Source organism: Homo sapiens, chromosome 20 (genome assembly GCF_000001405.40).
Source record: "Homo sapiens chromosome 20, GRCh38.p14 Primary Assembly".
NCBI classification, from domain to species: Eukaryota; Metazoa; Chordata; class Mammalia; order Primates; family Hominidae; genus Homo; species Homo sapiens.
The window spans coordinates 1,859,200-1,875,895 of NC_000020.11; the positions used below are offsets into that span (position 1 = coordinate 1,859,200).

The window sequence follows — 16,696 nt, forward strand, 5'->3', positions numbered from 1 at the left end:
CAGAAACAGTCTTCCTCCACAGTTAAAAAGCCCTTTCTTTTGCGTTTATCCCTTTCCCTTCTTCCTACATGGAACAGGGATGCCATGCCCAAGACCTGGCAGTCATCTTGCAACCATGAGGCACTAGGAATGAGGATAAACAGCTACAGGCTAAAGATGGCAAAGACGAATGGCAAGCAGAGCCTGAGTCTCCAGTGGCATCAGTGAGAGCCACACTGGTCCCGGGTGGCCTGCCCAGGACTTATAAGACAATAAACACCAATTGGATTATGCCTCTGCAGAAGGGTTTCTATTATTTCTAGCTGAGTTCATTCCTAACTTTCCCAAGAGTGGGGTCAAGATAGGACCCAGGGACTGCCTGTCACCGAGCTCTTGTTCCCTCTATGGAATCACACTACCTCCCAGGGGATGTACCTCCCCCTTTCTATCTCTTCCAAAATGCACCAGCATTAGGCGTTTGCCTGGCTCAGGGCCTAGAAAAGGGTGCTGAGCAGTTGTTCCTCAGGCCACGTAGCCACTAGACCTGCCCATGTGAACCCATGAGGAGTGGGGGTGGGGTCTTGCCCTGAACCCACCTACCATGAAAATTCCAGGGTCCCAAGTATCCAACAGATTGGACTTCCAGGAAACATATTTGATTTGACTTGTAATAACCATCCATCCATCATTCTAAACAAATAATAGCATACATCATTCTAAACAAATGTTTATTGAGGGGATGCCCAGTTTCAGGTGCTCATAAGTGAACAAAATCAGCAAAGTCCCTGTCATCAGAACTCATATCCTAATGGGGGAAGCAAACCATAACCAAGTCAGCAGAGAGGTCCCTCACCTTTACAAGGTGCTTTACAGTTTACTTTTAAGAATTTATCTGTCCTTTATCCTCATTCCTAGTGCCTCATGGTTGCAAGATGACTGCCAGGTCTTAGGCATCACATCCCTGTTCCATGTAGGAAGAAGGGAAAGGGATAAACATAAAGGGAAGGGCTTTTTAAGGAGACCTAACTTCGCCTCCTCAATAACTCCTCATTTTTCCATTTTGCCAAAGAAACAAAGGCACAAAACGGGGACCAAGAAGAGGCTTCCCCAAGATCACCCAGCCATGTCCAGGAGGGTCAGTCTGGCAGCAATTGCCTTCCCCAGGGCACATCCTCTGTCTACTAGAATAATCAAATAAGTCCCTCTGCCATGGGGATCTGTTGCTCTGGGCACCACTGAGACAGCCATCAGAAACAACAGCCTCTACCCAAAATCAGTGTTGGGCTGGGATACAGCATTGTCAGCTACACAAAACCCCCCTCATCAAGCTGTTGGCGCCTGGTGGCTGCTTAATTATTCATCCCTGCTGAACATGCAGGCCCAGGGCTTCAGCCATGGTTTTTGGAGCTCAACCATGGGGGAGCCTCGGTGATAAGCCCAGACCTGTTAAGAAGTTTGGAATGTATGTGTCTGCCCACAAATTGTTCCCTGGTCCTCCCACACCAGCCTCGTCAGGCATAGTGAAAGATGACAATGAGCCAGGAGGCTTCAGAGACAACAGGGCCCAGGCTGTGTTTGCAATGTTGGTAGCTAAAACTGCTCGGCCTGTTTTCCATTCCCATCTAGCCCAAGATCTTTCAGACTTTGAGCTAAGCAGAGTTTTAGGCATGTTGTGAGGGTTAGTGAGGGAAGGGGGTGGGGAGTCATTTCTTCAGGGGAGTGGTGGTGGTGGTGGGCAGTGACTCAAAGAGGCCAATGAACGTAGAGAGAAGAGCTTCTTTTGCAAGATGGACAGAGCCAAACGGACCTGGTTTCAATTGGCTCTGTCACTTTCCAGCTGTGTGTCCTTGGACAAGTCACTTGCCCTTTCTGATCAAAGGCCTCAAATATAAAATGGAGATTCATTCATTGTGTAAATGTATATTGGGCCCCTGCTATGTCCCAGGCACTGCGGATACAGCAGTGAAAAGAACAGCCAAGTCCTGTTCTCACGGGGGCTTGTGTAAAGAGTTAATGTATCTAAAGTACTGTGTCCCACATATAAGTACTCGATTCATGGTCATTATGACTTTTGTTATTGTCAGAGGATTTAAGTTTTACACATACAATTATTTGCTGTTACCCACCTATATGATTATTATTACCATGGCAGAAAACGCCCCCTCTACCCACCCCACACATATATACACACATACGCAACTCACACCTAAGCCATTATGAAAGAATTCATTTCCTCCTCTAAAGTTGTCTTTGGCATTCATTTTTCCTGGTCTGGGAGTTTTTAATTTCATTCATTTCCCCTTAGTCCTAACCCATCGTAGCTTGTCCTAACCTAACCCAGTATATAGCAGAGACCAATAAATGTTTTCTTCATTCCTTCCTTCGTTCATTCATTTACTTGACAAACATTTATTACTTCCTCCAACATGCCAGGCCCCGCTCCGCGAGCTGGGGAAGCAGCTGTGACCCAAACAGACAATGTCAGGCGATGTCTCTGCTCTCATGGGGTTGACATTCCAGCAAGGAAGACAGACAACAGGAAGGCAGACAGACAGATGACAGATAGACAGAAAATATACCACACTCACAGGCAGCGCAGATGCTGGAAGAGAAAAGCAGAGGCTTCAAGGTGGGGGAGGCAGGACGAGGCCATTCCAGACTGGCTGGGCGGAGAGTCCCTGCTGAGGAGGTGACGTATAAGACTGGGTGGGACGGAGAAGGGAGTCCTGTGAACATCTAGGGGAAGAAAGCTCCAGGCAGAAAACACAGAGTGCAAAGGTACGAGGAAGGAAGAAGCTTGGTAGGGTAAAGGAACCCATGGGGCAGCCTGTCCCAGGTTCCCAACTTGTCACCTTGGGCAGTCAGGCGAAAGCACAAAAATAGGCTCCAGTGATGGCTGGCACCTCCTTAGGCTCACTTAGATTCCTACAGTAGGGATCCAATGCGTGACTGCAGCCTCCAACCAGTCTCTGAAGAATGGAGAGAACAGGGACCAGAGAGGGAAGGTGATTTCCCCGGGTCACACAGCCAGCAGTGGCTGGGCTGGACCCAGATCCCACATCTCTTAACTCTGGCCAGTGGTGCCTCCCCTAAACCACAGTTGTTGTCTTTCTGGAAGGCAGAATGAGGGGTCCAGAAAGATCCCAGGAGACACTCAGAGACACACAAGTTAGGAGACAGACTGGAGAGATAGGAACTCGAAACCTTCCCCACTCCCAGCCATGCTTGTCCTCACACTCAAAGAACCACAGGAACCAGACAGCAGCCTCCATCCTGGCTCTGCATCTGGGAACCATGGTTACGGCTGCTGCTTGATTGGCAGGGGGTCCAGACACATTCGAGCTACCCCTTGATTCCTAGAGGTTGTGTGAGAAGCAGGAGCAAGGGCCAGGAGAGAAGCTGGGGGTCACCAGCAGGCCCCAAATACCACCCTCTAACCTTTCCCTCCCAAGCCAATCATCCAGGCACCTCGCACTGCCACGAAATCCTTTTTAGAGCTCTGAATTAAAAATAAATTTGCAAGCACATAACCAGATGTTACATGGGGAAAAGATAAATAACTCAGCCTGTCAAGGAACTGCCTCATCTCAGTCAACCCTCTCTCTTTCACAAGGTTTTAATTTTTAATTTCACAGCGGTAACTATAGCAACCTGCAAAAATAATATATTCCAAAGCAAAACAACTTTCTTGGCTCTGGCTTGGCATCTCCATGTTCCCTCCTTCCCTCCTCTCCACCAACTTCACGCAGGTCTGTGCCCAGAGTTGATGAACGCTCTCAGCTTTGAATGCCCTCATTCATTAAGTAATTAATTCATTCATACACAAGTATCTCTTGCCATCCAAATCCATAGAACTCCTAAATTCAGGTAGCGGGTATTGGACAATGGACTCAGAATCATGTGGGATGCCATGTTGTCTTAACCTATTTTGTTTCTAGGTTTTGAGTACATAGGAAAATTTGGATAGCAAGGGACATCTGTATTCATTGGGGACCTAATTTGTCCCAGAGTCAGTGCTAGGCAGGCCCTGGGGTGAGAGAGAATAGGACTGATCCTGCCCTTAAGGAGCTCACAGTCCTGTTGGGGAGACAGAATACAAACACATAATTACAATAAAGTAATATAAGTATTGTATACAAGGGAAAAATAATATACAAATGGGGCACAAAAGAAGGGAGAGGCTGTCAATATCTAGGATGATCTAGGTAGGCTTCACAGAGAAGGTGACTTCTGAGATGGGTCTTGCTGGATGAGTAGAAGTTTTCTGAATGACCAGCATAGGGAAGGGCACATCAGGCAGGTGGAACAGCACGTGCAAAGGCAGAAACAGATGACATAGGTCAGTATGGCCTAAGCATAGGATGAGTCATACTTCAAAAAGATACTGGAGAGGTTGACAAGGGAGAAACATACAGAGCCTTGAATGCTGGGCTGACTTCAGCTTGGAGGCCAGGGGAAATCAGCCACATAGGGAGTAGGGCAAAACATAAAAGGCCACTCTGAGGACAAGTGTGGCCAATGGATTAGAGGGCAAAGAATGCAGACGAAGCCTGTGGGGGAATTCAGGTGGGTGGTGGCTGCAGGGAAGAAAAGAGTGAAAAAGTGTCGGTTTGGGTTCCCTAAGAAGCAAACCTTGAGCCAAGGATCCAATCTTATTTGAGATGTGACCCCAGGAAGCACTGATATGGGGAGGAGGGAGAGGGAAGTGAGACAGGGAAGGGAAGAAGGCTCATAAAGTGTTTATTAGAAAGCCAGTTAGCACCGTGGGCCACGGGAGCTCAGTCCTCCTGGGAGTTCTGCGAGACGGCACCGAGAGTGCCTCAGAGTTGCCCACTTCAAGGGTAGGAGGCTGGAGGATCTCAATGCCAATTCCTAGAGTAATTGGTTGGAGGCTACTCCCAGGAGGCATCAATTCCTGGTGAGCAGGGTCCAGTGCCAGATAAACCCTCAAGCAGAGACTCATGTGCCAGCAGCCAGACACAGGGCCCATGTGTCCTGAAACAGAAAAGAAATGCCAAGGGGACTCAGGTGGGGCATTAAGAGCATCTGCCCCTGTGGAATTCTGAAAGATAGTCAGTGGGCATACTGGGAGACTCCAACATCTGGCAGAGAGGCAGACGCACTGACACACACAGCTGGGACAGGTGGGTCATGGGCAACAGGGCCCAAGTGAGGACAGACCCATCACCATCCTGTGCCCAGGCTGCTTAAGGGTCCCAGTGGGATGCTGTGGCTCCTGCTGCAAGGAGGCTGAGGGAGGAGGATCACTTAAGGCCAGGAGTTTGAGGTTGCAGTAAGCTAAGATCCCACCACTGCACTCCAGCCTGGGTGACAGAGCAAAACCTTGTCTTAAGAAAAATTAAGAAAAAAAAAAAGAATCCCAATGGGGCTCAAAGGCTGGGTGACAGTCCTCAGCACATCCCCCTCTCATAATGGGATAGACCTTCTTTCCAAATAAAGAGTCCTCTCTCAAGTAAACAGAGCTTCCCTCTATCCCTGATTAAAACTGGAAAGTGGCAAGAAGAAAATGTGTCAAGTAGGAAGATGCACATACAGGATGTGTTCATGCAGGGATATAACATTGATGGTGACCTTGTGTGAGCTACTTCACCTCCCCTGGCCTCAGTTTCCTCTTCTACAAGGTATGGTTCATAGAGGTGCCCATTGCATTATCTTGTAAGAATGTAATTCGATGATGCATGGTGATGCCTAGAAGTCACCTAATCAATATTACCTGTGAATATCGTTCTTTTCTGCAATATTGTTTTTTAGCATGGTCCACATGGGAGGCCCTGGGGAGACAGCAATCATCAAGCAGACTTGGTTCCTGCCCTCGTGCTGCCTCCAGCCTTGTGGACATGCTGAAATGCTTTATATAGAATGTTAAAGAGAGCCAGATAAAAAATTATGCATAGAGCAAGATTCTAATTTTGTTTAAACACACACACTCACAAAGGCCCAAGGGATATACACCAACATGTAATGATAGTTAACACCAGATGATGGAATTGAAGGTGGCTTGCAGTTTTACAATTCTTTCCTGGCTTTTTTTTCCTTTTAAAATTTTCACAGTGGATTGTATTATTCGAATAGTCATTTTTGAAAAAATAAAGGAAAACAAGAATGCTTCTTTCTCTGACTCTCTGCCCATCACAAATTTCATCTGTTTCCTCGGGAACCAGGAGCTCCTGGCATTAGGGGCTGTTTGCTTGTACATTCCAGGGTCTACCCACCAGGCAGCCAGGTCTCAGGTCCTGGCCTCATTCCCTACTGTGGTGCACATTTGAAAAGGGGCTGGGGGTTGGGGTGGCCTCCATCAGAGCAACAAACCTGGACTGAATGATTGGTGAGTATGAAGAGGGGAGCCCTCTCTCAACCTGGGATCAGCTACCTGTGAAGACATGTTCTGTCCCAGGAGTCAGAGGGGAGAGGTCTGTGTTTATCCATCTACCTGTGATTGCAAAGGTAAGGCTGTCCAACTCTGAGGATCAGTGTTAGCAGTTCCATTTGCCTGCATGCCCAAGCCACGTTCTCTAAACAGCTTTATCTGTAATAAGCTGACATTTTGTTCCTCACCTCTTGACTCCTCGGTCTCCTACTGCTTCTGAACTTAAGTGAGGAAGAAAGCAACATTATATGTAGATGCCATAAAAATCACATAGTCCATACCTGGCTCCTAGAAATTGGCTATTAACAAAGAGATTAGACACCTATTTTTCTCAAGTTTCCTCTTTTTTCCTTTTGACACCTTGCTTTTCTCTTTTCCTTTTGACACCTAGGACTGTGAGATAGACCCAATGTTCTTGGAAAGATCTAGTAATCTCTCCTGTAGCGAACTTGACGGTATTGTCTGTCTGAGTCCCTTTTTCGGAAAATGGTCCCTCCTCCACACCATGTAAACTTGGGGTTTCCATCAAGATCACCAAAACAAGAGTGGTCATGGGTCCCATTCAGGACCAAAGTGATTTTCTGGGATGAGTATGTGGCATAGATATGGATACATAATATATGTAGGTATATGACATGTATATGATAGATATATATACATGGATGTATGATGTGTATAGAGGATATATGACATATATATGATATATATAGGATATACAATATATGACATATGTGATATGTACATGGATATATGATATATAGAGAGGATACATGATATATGACATACATATTATAGATGTACACAGATAAATGATACATATGCCTCGCTCCTGCCAGCCTTGCTGGGCTTGTTGCATACATGTTTGGGTGTACCTGCTGGTGGCCTGCTTCCCTACCACACATTGACAGCCTGCCTGGAGGCTAAAGCCAACCAGAAAAGATGACCCTGTTGAGTTCCTGTATCCAGCCATTCCTGAAACCACCTTCCTAGACCAGAACCAATACATTCCCTCTTTTCCTTAAGTAGTTTGAGTTGGGTTTTTATCAGTTGAAGCTAAAAGAATCCTGACTAGCATACTGCAGTGAATATATACCGGTTAGAAGGCTGTGACCACCCAGAATCCATGCCCCCTTCCTAAGTAACCCTCATTGTTTAGGAAAATCACCTCTCCTCCATTGAATTCACCTGGGGGAACTGCTGGGCATGACACTGCTCCTTCCTTCACTCCTAGGTCACTACCTACACCCCCACACAAGACCAGGTGAATTGGCCATGAATCCCTTCCAGGCCTGCCCATAAAACCTCCCCCATGCTCCTCCACACCCTGTCTTTTCCTCTCCTCTGCCGGGGGATGCAGAAGATCAAAAAAGAAATCAAGATCCCCTCCCCTGGATGGAAGGACCTGGGTCTCTGAGTGACCATGAGGAGTTGACCTACACTGGACTGTGACCTGAGTGACAAGTAAACAGATTATGAGTCACTGAGATTTGGGGGTTGTCTGTAACAGCAGTTATCCTGCCCTAACTAACACAATAGGCTGGCACATTGGAGAGCTACCTGAGAGCCATTATCCTAAGAGCTTTCCATTCAACCACGAATATTTACTGAGTCCCTATTCTGTGCTTGCAAAGCCCCCTGTGTTTCCTGTTCTCCTGCACTGCCCACGATTGCCTCTCTCCTCGTCTGGCTGTCTTCTCTCTCTAGACGGTAAGTTCCCCAAGAGATGGGTCCTTATCTGTCTTCATCCTCTGCACCGTGTCCCTGGTATCTAGTTTAGCATCAGGAACATAGCAAGTGCTCCGTATTGATTGATTGGATTTGCAAAATGACCAGATGCATAAAGTTGTCATGAGGCTTAAGCGAGGTTCTGATTGTGAAGCGTCATGGCACACAGGAGGTCCCCTGCAAATACAGTAAAAATGAGCTAAATCAAGGTGCATGTGGGCTGGGCAAGGCTTTCAGTGGGAGGGCAGATTTTAGCCAGGACTTATCCTGCCCTATACCCTACAGAGAGCTAAGTTATCTCTGGTCCTGGCTGGTCCCAGGCTCTATGCAGGAGGAAGGATGGGGACCAGCTGCTTCCTGGAGGGAGCCCCAGTCCCAGAGGCTTTGAGCTGTGGTAGGGGTGAGGCAACACTTCAGGAAATAACATTTCAAAGGCTTTGGCTGTGAGAGCAGACTTCTCACCCCTGTCTTGTGTGGAGGTGGGTGTGGGATGCCTGGTGTGCCTCTGGGGTAAAGCATCCCTTTCACGGTTTGAAATCTCATCTCGGGAAAGCTTAACTCCTTGTACCCCATTCTACTGGCTATAGACAGGCTCCAGGGATTTAGCCCAAGACTCCTAGGATAATGTCCAAACTCCATACCTGGGGTAGGAATGGGGGCAGGTGCAGCATGTCCAGCATGATGCAGCAGTTAACAGCCTGGGCTCTGGAGGCAGAATGCCTGGGTTCAAATCCTGGCTCAGTTCACATGGTAGCTGTGAGACTTTGGATGACTCAGCTTATCTGGACCTCAGTTTTCTCATCTGTAAAATGGGATTATAATAGTAACACACTAGAAGATTGTTAGGAAGATGACCTCGCTTTGACAACTAATGGAGTGTTCTTTTCTTTTCTTTTCTTTTCTTTCTTTCTTTCTCTTTCTTTCTTTCTTTCTTTCTTTCTCTTTCTTTCTTTCTTTCTTTCTTTCTTTCTTTCTTTCTTTCCTCCTTTCCTTTCCTTCCTTTCCTTTCTTTCTTCTTCTTTTTTCTTTTTTATTTCAGATCTCACTCTGTGCCCAGGCTGAAGTGCAGTGGTGTGATATCAGCTCACTGCAACCTCTGCCTCCCAGATTCAAGCAGTTCTCCTGCCTCATCCTCCCAAGTAGCTGGGACTACCAGTGCGCACCACCACACCCAGCTAGTTTTTGTATTTTTTTTAGTAGAGATGGGGTTTCACCATGTTGGCCAGGCTGGTCTCGAACTCCTGACCTCAAGTGATCTGCCTGCCTCAGCCTTCTGAAGTGATGGGATTATAGGCATGAGTCACCACACCTGGCCAAGTGTGTTTCTTAAATGTTTTAATTCCTAACATGGTAACTATCAATAGATAAACTGACATAAACAAAATTCTTTGGGGTCCACAGTAATTTTTAAGAGTATAAAGGGGTCCTAAAACCAAAACATTAAAATCCAGTCTCATGTGATAACTTCACACTACACATGCCAGATGATTCACCTGGCGTCAATTCTTCACTTCCTCCTCTCCTCCCCCGACCGGCCATGACCTAGTTTGGACCCTGTGCTCTGTCCAAATGAGCAACTGAGGCACCTACCCAAGGAGGCCATGAGGATTCCTCCCTCCACACCCCTGAACAGCAGCTGTCTACCCTGAATTCTGTGGTTTCACTATCCTTAACGAAATTGTACTTACTCTGCAAGGCCCAGGGGCTTCTGCCTCCTGCAGGAAGCCTGGCTGACTGCCCTAAATGGAGCCCTTGGTCCTCTGAGCTCACACAGCACTGCCCAGTCATGAGGGCAGATGGCCAAGGCAGCTTCATCAGTTTTGCTTGTGAAAGCCCATCTTCTCACTAGACTGCACGCTGCCTCTGGCTTTGGGGTCAGAACAGAGCTGAACTGGGTCATGTTGGGCAAGTCGCTGTCCCTCTCTGAGCCTGTTTCCTTATCTGCAGAATGGGGTAATTATGAGACTTACTGTGCAGATCTTGTAAGGACTGGATGAGCAAATGCACTGGATTAATTTGCTAGCGCTGCCATAACGAAGTATCACACTCGACCAGCCGCTGTGGCTCATGACTGTAATCCCAGCACTTTGGGAGACTGAGGCGGGTAGATCACTTGAGGTCAGGAATTCAAGACTAGCCTGGCCAACATGGTGAAATCTCCTCTCTACTAAAAATACAAAAATTAGCAGGGCATGGTGGCGGGTGCCTGTAATCCCAGCTACTTGGGAGGTTGAGGCAGAAGAATGGCTTGAACCCAAGAGGTGGAGGTTGCAGTGAGCCAAGATCATGCCACTGCACTCCAGCCTGGGAGACAGAGTGAGACTCCAACTCAAAACACAAACAAAAACAAACAAACAAAAAACGAAGTGTCACAATTGGCTGTGATACTGGTGCTTCAAAAGAAACCAACCCTGCTGACCCCTTGATCATGAACTTCTAGCCCCCAGAATTGTGAGACAATAAATTTCTGTTGTTTTGTGCCATGATGCTTCACAATTAAAACCTCACTTAAGCATCACAATGACTTTGTACATCTGGTCATTTTGCAAATCCAATCAATCAATACTTATTGAGCACTTGCTGTGTTTCTGACACTACACTAGATACTGGAGACACAGTATAGAAGACAGACAAGCACCCGTCTCCCAGGGAACTTATGGTCTAGAGAGAGAAGATAGGGCAGGGCCTTGGGGGTCACTCTAAGGACTTTCGCTTTTCCTCTGCACACAATGCGGAGCCACAGGATATTCTGGTGCTTCAACAACAGAAGTTTATTGTCTCACAATTCTGGGGGCTAGAAGTCCAAGATCAAGGTGTTGGCAGGGCTGGTTTCTTCTGAGGCCTCTCTCCTCGGCTTGTAGATGGCTGTTTCTTTCTGTGTCTTTACCTGGTCTTCCCTCTGTGTGTGTCTGCATCCTAATCTCCTCTTCTTATAAAGTTGTCCTTATAAAGGACACCAGTCATACTGAATTAAGATCCACCCTCAATGACCTCATGTAATTAATTACCTTTTTAAAGACCCAATCTCCAAATACAGTCACATGCTAAGGTGTTGGGGGTTGGGGCTTCAACATATGAATTTGGTGCGGGTGGGAGAAGACATAATTCAACTTATATGGCATCTAAAACATTCTGCCTAGGGCTGTCAGGTGTAAGTAAGCTGTGCTTCTCTCTCCACTGCCACCAGAGCCTGGGGCTGCGGTCAGTGGCTTGGGCTGGGCCTTTAGAGCCTGAATAAATCGGTCATCAGATATGAGCTGCCCAGGGAGGGGACATGACCTCAGGCAAGACTGCTCTCCTTAACTGGGCAATCTCCAACAGGGACTTTGCTGCACCACCAATAGCTGGGCAGTAAGTCCTTCTTTCCTGAGGAGAGCTGGGCACCCACCCTGCCCCTTTACTCGCTACATGACCATGGGTAAGCTCCTTGCTTTCTCTGAGCCTCAACTTCCAAAACTGGAAAAAAAATAAAATGACTTGCAGAGGGATGATGATGAGATGGGGTCATTGCTGGTATTTTTATTTAGGCAACAATTTATTTTATTGAGCACCTAGTATGTGCCAGGCATTGTTCTAGGCTCTGGGGATATAGCAGTGAATAACATGGACAAAATCTCAGTTAAAGCTGACGTCATTACAGGGACTGCCAGGCACTAAACAAATAAGCAAGTAAAATACATAGCATGTCAGATGCTGATAAGTGCTGTGAAAAAGTAGCAATTAAACCAAGAAAGGGGAAGCGAGAGTGTGAGAGGCAGGGGTGCGGAAAGGGGGATGTCACAATTTTAAATAAGATGGTCAGGGAAGGCCTGTCTATGAAAAGATTTGGCAAGGTAAGGGGGCCCTCTAGATATCTCCGAGCAGAGCTTTGCAGGCAGAAGGGCCGTGAGCATCCCTGACGTGGTTCCTGAATGCACGGCCTGAGCTCAGTGAGCAAAGGGGACCTAGACTGGACATGAGGTCAGAGGAGTGGCCGGGGTCAGCCAGGGCAGGGCCTGGCAGGCCACTGTCAGAACTTCGGCTTTTCCTCCACATGCAACGTGGAGCCACAGGAGTCTTCTGAGTGCAGGAGGGGGCGTGACCTCACTTTGATTTTACTAACACAGGGTAACCCAGGTGACAAGCTGAGATTGCAGCCGGCTCCCCTGCTCCCACCTTCCAGCCCCGCTGGGCCCCACCTAGTAAGCCCTGCCCAAGCCGCCACCCCCTCTCCACACACACACACACACGCGCTCCATCAGTCCCACGCCTGCTTGTCCGTCAAGTCTCAGTCTAGCCCTCACCTCCTCCTTTGGGAAGCCAGCCCAGAGCCCCTGACCTGCCTCATCCCTCCCTCCCCAGAGAACCAGGAGGCAGTTAGGGGACAGGCCTTGGCAATCAAGCGCCAGATTCAAATCCTCCCTACTTAGAATCTCTGAACCTCAGTTTTCTTCATCTGTAAAATGGAGATAATAATAACAGACCATTAAAAACCCACCCTCAGGTAGTAAGTGAAATCCGAAGGTTCAATTGTATAAACTACACCACAGTACCATCACAGGGTCAATGAACAGCAGCATTATCAGCTGCTCTGTGTTGTCCTGAGAGCAAAGACATAAAGCTCACACCGCCCACCACTACCTGAGAAAGGTCCAATGGTCACAGGGCTTGTTTCCTAACCTCCCCCCAACCCCAGTCAACCCAAGACCACCCACACTTGAGAACAGGGGCTGGACCAAGGCTGGCTGCTCATCACCACCCAAGCTATGTTCACCACGTGACCACAGGGCTGTGGCATGGAGTGATGAGACATCCTTGGGTGTGTGCCTGGCACATTGCATGAGTGTCACCTGCTGCTGCTGCTGCACCCATCACGCCATGTAGGAGGATCTCCTTCCTCTTACGCTGCCTCCAGCCTATGAGAGGATGTAGGTAATGACTATGCTCACAAATATCACAAATGCTCGGTATACAGCAGGGGCTCAATAAATGCTTGTTAGAGGCAACCAGAGCACAGCCAGATGTGTGCGTGTGTATGTGCTGACTGTACCATTTTCCAGATGTGTGTCCCACAGCCCATCACTTTGCCTCTCTGAGCCTCTGTTACCTCATCTGTAAAATGGGAGGACTCATTCTTGCCTGGAAGGGTGAGTGGGGCATCCCCAGGGCTCCTGCGCCCCAGTCACAGGGTGAAGGTATGGCACCAATGTACCCAGAGGATATCTGGCAGGTGCACAGTAGACATAATAGTCCACATAATAGTGACAACCAGAGCCACCGTAGCATCTGGCAGAGCAGACTTGGGAGTGAGCTCTTGTGAGTCACAGGTTGGGGCTTCCCTGTGTAACCTGGTGAGGCTCACAGGAGTCCAATGGCTTAGAGTGGCAGATAGGGCCATGAGTCGGGCCATTGTCTCTGTGTCATCAATGATTCTGTGTTTGGTAGGTTTGCTCTAGACTCAGAGAAGAGCAAGACTCACTGGGAGCCTCTTCCCCTCTGCTAAGTTTTGAATGTATCCCCCAGAGTTCACATATTGGACATGTAATCCCCAGTGCAAGAGTGGTGACATGTAGGACCTTTAAGGAATGATTAATGCCATTATCATGGGAGTGGGTTGGTTATCGTGGGATTGGGTTCTTGGTAAAAGGATGAGCTCAGCACCCTTCCCTCTTGTTCTCTCTTGCACAATCTCTTACCCTTTTGCCTTCCACTATGGGATGATGCAGCCCAAGGGCCCTCTCCAGATGCCAGCTCCATGCTCTTGGACTTCCCAGTCTCTAGAATCATAGCCAGATAAATTTCTATTCATTATAAATTACCCAGTCTGCAGCATCCTGTTATAGCAGCATAACATGGACTAAGACACCATCCTTTGCCCCAGTTCAGGGCAAAGAGGCCTCAAGAAACCCACCATTTGTGAGAAACTTTTATGTGCTTCCTGGACTTTCTAGGTATTTACTGACAGCTAACTGTTACGGAGCACTTCTAGCACTAGGTACTGCTCTGCGCTCTTGTACCGTCTCAGACAAGGCCCCACAGGAACTCCTTGACACAGGTATTGTTATCACCATTTTGCAGGTGAGGCAACTGAGGCACAGAAAGCTTCCCAGAGTCACACAGGTAGGGCGATGGAGAAAAATTTGGAGTCTAAGTCTGAGTCCCTGAGCTTTCTGCTTAGGAGGCAGCCTAGCCTGGTGGTTAAAGCTGTGACCCCTTCCAAAGCCAGGCCACCAGGGGTCAAAGCTAGGCTCTTCCCCTTTGTTCTCCTTGCCTCAGTTTCCTTATCCAGAAAATGGGAGCAATAGGACCTACCTCATCAGACTGCTGTGAGGATTAAGTGAGGGCTGTGTTTACAGTGATAGGCAATCCATAATCCATAAAAGTACACGCTGGTCCTACCAGATTCCTCCTTCTCTTAGCTCAGAGGACTTCTCCCAATGTGTCTCTCTGTCAGTCTTATTTCTCTCTCTTGCTCTTTGCCATCTCTTCTGAGGCATATAAGCTTCTCTTTGTCACTTTCCTCTCTATCTTGGTCCCTTCTGGGTCCTAAATCCTGGCTCTGAGTTTATGTGCTGCATAAACTTCAGCATAGCACAGGGCAACCCTCCTGACTGTGGATACTCTCAAACTTCATAGAAATTTCTCCTGGGGAACTGGCTAAATGCAGAGTCCTGGTTCCACCGGAGAGAATCAGATTCTATAGGTCCAGGATGGGGTGAGAGAATCTGCATTTTAACCACTGTCCTCTCCAAAACCTTTCACCCTGTGACCTCCCAGGCTGGCTCTTGAACTATACTTTGAGAAGCACTGCATTTGCCCTCAGTTTCCTCATCTGTCAATTTGGAGTAAACAGAAACTACCTCCCAAGGTTGTAAAGATGAAATGAAATAATTTGTCTGGAAAGCAAACACCTTTTCTCTGTCTTGGCTTTTGTAAAATTTATTTTGTCTCTGACTTTCCCATTCTCTGTTTCTGGTGTTTTTCCTATTTCATTCTCTGTCCTCTCTCTCCCTACCCTCTACCTGGAAGTGGACCCAACTCCAGAGCTGAAATGGAAAACACTGAACAGGTGTGGCCCTTCTGTAAAGGCTGGAGGCCCCAAGATCATCCAAATGGCCTGTCCAGCTCCTTCCTACTGGCACCCCAGCAGTCCCCAAGACCAAGCATCCCCACCCCTGCAGCCCCCACAGCAGCAAAGCTGGGGAAAGATGGGGATCCATTGTGCAGGAACGGCCTTGCTGCTATGGAAACCAGCACTCAGAAAATGCTCAGAGATGATCCATTCTGGGGAGCGGCCTGGCCTTGGGGGAGGGGGAAAGGCCAAACTCTGCACCTTGGACTTTGCCCTCCCATTACCGGCCATGTGATGCTGGGCAAGTCACTTAACCTCTCTGAACCCTCCTCTCCCTCACCGGGCCCCGAGCAGCAGCCTCCATTATCGGTGGGTGATAACCGCCGCTGATGACTGAACACTGCTCTGCGGCTTTCAAGCCTGAAGACACGCCAAATTGCCATTTGCTTTCATTACTGCGAGCTTGAAATATTCTAGTGCCAGCTTGCTGCATGACCCTGTGCCTCCGAGGGCCACCAAACTATTTCCATGATAGAATTCCCTCTCGCAGAGGTGCAGAGTCCACTCTGAGTCACTCTACAACACACACACACACACACACCACACAAGCACACACACACCGCACACACAGACACTAGCTACTGAGCTAAGTTGCCCATACACTTGCCTCACCCCGGTTGCGCTGCGATTCCTCTTCTAGGAAGGGAAGAAGTGAGCACAATGTCTCCTGATTACTCCATCAGCAGCGCCCAATGCTCTGCAGCTGCAGAACTTATCTCATGGTGCATTTTCCTTCCTCAATGTCTCCCAGGGCACCTCCCCTCCAAGATCCCTCCCACGGTTCCCCATGCCTCCAGGCCTAAGTCTAAGCTCAACAGCCTGACCTTCGAGGCCCTCAGAGCCAACTGCGCCCTTGCTCCACAATGTCACCCCTCTATTTGCGACAGCAGTCCCTGTGAAGGCAGGGATTCTGTTTGCCATTGTAGCTGATGGAACCCCAGTGCCTGGTACATCCTGAGGCCAGGGGAGCAGAGGATAAGGGCATGCATGAGAGGGTGGCTACCACGTGCCACCCACCCCAGGGACATCAAGTAAGACCCTTACCCTCCTTGTGCCTCAGCTTCTCACTCTTCACAACACACAGTAACACACCACACACATATACACTCTGAAACTCACACACACACAGCAACATAAACACACATCCCACACTCCCCCATACACAGACACGCACACCATGGTGTACGAAGAGCATCGGACCCCCTGGCCATCTGGCCGTCCCCTGAACAAGCTGTGCACTTTCCTCCCTCCTTACCTTTGCTCATGCAGTTTCTTCTTCCAAAAACCCACTTCCAACAAGTTCTTCCAGAGCTCTCAGGGATCCTCTGCACGCAACTCCTCCTCAGTAATCAATGTAATTTCTCAGAGAACACGATGACTTGCCCAAGATCACACAAGAAGTGTGTGGCCGCAGAGCCTGTGTCAGAACCCAGGCCTTGGGGTGGGGGGACACTGAGTCCAGCTGCTCTGAAGAGCATCCGAGCATTTATTCA

At 48.3% G+C, this 16,696-nt stretch overlaps 1 long non-coding RNA gene across 2 annotated transcripts, besides 1 other annotated feature; it reads right to left on the bottom strand.

The window, feature by feature from the left end:
• On the bottom strand, positions 11,592–16,663 carry LOC124904857 (uncharacterized). Of its 2 annotated transcripts, XR_007067496.1 has the most exons (3): positions 16,459–16,663; positions 13,768–13,848; positions 11,592–12,987 (listed from the first exon to the last, which is right to left on the bottom strand). It is a non-coding gene; the product is annotated as an uncharacterized LOC124904857 (long non-coding RNA). The 2 variants fall into 2 exon arrangements; XR_007067495.1 differs by having other exon boundaries at positions 11,592–13,848.
• Positions 11,669–11,828: an enhancer, noted in NCBI's record as "active region_17460". NCBI's record gives its function as "activates an Ori minimal core promoter by ATAC-STARR-seq in GM12878 lymphoblastoid cells {active_cell/tissue: GM12878}" and the evidence as "EXISTENCE:reporter gene assay evidence [ECO:0000049][PMID:35858748]".